At 52.8% G+C, this 2,809-nt stretch overlaps 1 annotated feature.

Moving 5' to 3' along the window:
- Positions 1,895-2,084: a silencer, noted in NCBI's record as "fragment chr1:18404738-18404927 (GRCh37/hg19 assembly coordinates)". NCBI's record gives its function as "represses an EF-1alpha promoter that drives an FKBP-Casp9 reporter gene in an ReSE screen in HepG2 liver carcinoma cells {active_cell/tissue: HepG2}" and the evidence as "EXISTENCE:reporter gene assay evidence [ECO:0000049][PMID:32094911]".

The following is a 2,809-nucleotide window of genomic DNA, read 5'->3' on the forward strand; positions in this document are numbered from 1 at the left end:
GGGAGGGCTTGCAGTCCTCCTTTTACAAACTGACTTCTCATGCTTCTGCCGTGCACTGGCCACCTTGAATGAGCTTCTTAGGGGAGATTTGGGGCCTGGATCCAGAATTGGCATAGGTGCCTGCCTAAACCCAGAGTGGCGGAGACATGGTCTGAACCACAGTAATGTCACGGCTAGAGGTTACTGAATGCTCAAGTGTGTTCAGCAAGCGACATGCTGCTGCTGGGCTTTCCTGGGTGAAGACAGAGCAGGTAGCCACACCCGGAGGATTGTGGCGGGACCTCTCAAGGTTGCAATCAGGCTAGATGAGAGAGCACCTGAATTTGAGTCCCAGCTTTCCCAAAACTTGCTCTGTGACCTTGGTCAAGTGCCTCTCCTTCCTGGGCCTCAGGCTCCCCCTCTAAAATGAGAGAATGGGACCAGGTGCTGCAGAACCTCTTTCTAGCCCCACTATTCTGTGATCCTGTGGCTCTCGACATAAGCAAGGATTTTCCATAGGCCTCTGTCACCCGCAGGTATTAATATTTCCATGAAGCATGATAGAATACTGAAATATGTGGGCCCTGAAGCCAGTATGCTGGGGCTCAAAGCCCAGCTCAGGGTCATATTAGCTGTGTATCATCAAACAAATCACCTAACCTGCTTGATCCCCAGGCCCTTTATCTGAAGGTAGGAATAAAAAGAGTTTGTGAGGCTTATTTTGAGAATTATAAAAGAGATAATGCATCTATTGTGTCTCACCGTTAGCAAACACTCAGCAAATATTAGCAACGAGTGCTGCTACTACTACTGTTTTTCATTTCTTTCCATTGATATCTGGAGCAAGGAGGATGCTGGGGATGGATGGCTGCTTCCTGGACTCCAGTTGCCTGGCTGGCCTTTAAACAGAGCCCCCCTGGGGCAACTCGTGCCTTGAAATACATTTCCAAAGGAAGCTTCAGTGTCATGTGCTCTGGGCATCTTGGAGAGGTGGTGAGACATCTTTGTTGTTGCAACTAATGTTGGTAAAGGGTTTGGGGTCAACCAGGAGAGGATGCTCCAGAAAGATAATGAGATAAACACACCTTTCCCTGCATCAGCGTCTTCGGTCCCAGCCAGCCCCAGGGAGGCAGCGCGAGGGGAATGGAGAGAGGACATTGCGGGGAGGGGGCTGCTCTGTGCCCTGCTTCAGTGGGAAAGGCAGGGTTTAGGGAACTGACAGGCATGGGGTCAAGGGTGCCTCTGACACCTAGTAGCAGCCCATGTCCTTGGGCAAACAGCCGTGCTCACAGAGCCTCTGTGTCTTCATCGCTAGAATGGGGATGGGAGTTGCTTTGAGACTGCAGTATTGAAGGTTGTAGCATAGTGCCTGGCACAGAGCAGGGGCTCAATAACTGTCAGCTTTCTCTCCTGCCCTTTTCAAAATTCAGGCAGCCCTGGGTGCAGAGCCTTGGCTTGGGCACTGTGGGTTGTCTGTGGGAAACAGCAGGTGTGAGCCTCTACCCCCAGGGAGCTCCCAGTACAAGCGGCGTGCTGGGCCCTGCCCTTGGTGAGCTTAAAAGCTTTGGCCACCGCAGGTGTCATTTATTTGTTCTTCCTGCAGAGGAACATGGGGTCCTGTTCCTCAGAGCACCTGGCCCGGCAGCACAAGCATCCCCAGAGACCTTGTTAGAAATGCAGACTCACAGGCCCACTCCAGGCCTCGTGAATCAGCACCTGCACGTTGACAAGATCCCCAGGTGATTCATGTGTGTGGTCGTTTAAGAAGTGCAGGTGCAGGGCACTGAATGTTCTCATTATCCTGGCCCAGGCTTGCCATGGCTTCCCCTCTCCTGGGCCAAGAAGACAGTGAAGGATAGAAGAGCTGTGGCTACCCCAGACCACAGAGGAATTTGGAGATGCTCCCAAAGGGGGCCCTGCTCTGGGATGCAGATGTCCCTTCTGGGGTGGCAACCTGCCCCACTCCTCCCCCAGCCCATGGGTCCAGGTGGCCTGCAGAGACAAGAGACGGTGTGCTACCACAGCAAAGCAATCTTCAGAGGTCAGGCCAGTGGGACAAAGCCTCTGCCCCCGCCAGGCATGTTTCCCATAAACTTCCTCCCACTCCCCTGTTCCCTGTCTCGGAGGGAGCAAGTGAGCTGGGGAGACCAAGGCAGCTGGGACCAGCTGGCTGATAATGGCAGATCCACCAAACAGCTGCCACAGAAGGCGTATTAAAGATGCTTGCTTGATCCCACTTTAATAACCTGGCAGTTTGCGCGGCCAAACGCAGCTAAGAAGTTGTGGAACAAGAGGGCCGTTTCTTATTATTTTTAATACAGAGCTTTTTATAACTGATTTCGTTGGTGTCATTAACATGCCACATATTTAATGAGACTACACGGTAACAAGGGGCCTGTCTCGTTACTCACAAGCCACAGAAGCAGCTGTGGGCACACCCACCCTCACATACCCACGTGTACCCATGCAGGAGGAGTCGTACACACGCAAACACACCAGACAGGCACACATGCAGCTTCACCCACATAGGCAAGGGATACCTGTGCACATGGGAGCACATGTTTTGACACATGCGTGCCGTCACACATGTGGGCAAGTCACACTCATGCAAATATGTGAGCCTGGTGATCATGTGAGCTGCACACACATGCACGTTTGACAAACACACACACACACACACACACACACACACACACACACGGTTTTCCAATCCATGGCATGGAGGGGAAAGGCATATGAGAAGTGTCTCCCACAGACCCACATGAGTACTCTCCAGGCGCTCTTCAGGCAGCAGGACTGGGGCAGGGCTGCATGGAGCCCCTCTCACCCA

Source organism: Homo sapiens, chromosome 1 (genome assembly GCF_000001405.40).
Source record: "Homo sapiens chromosome 1, GRCh38.p14 Primary Assembly".
NCBI lineage: Eukaryota > Metazoa > Chordata > Mammalia > Primates > Hominidae > Homo > Homo sapiens.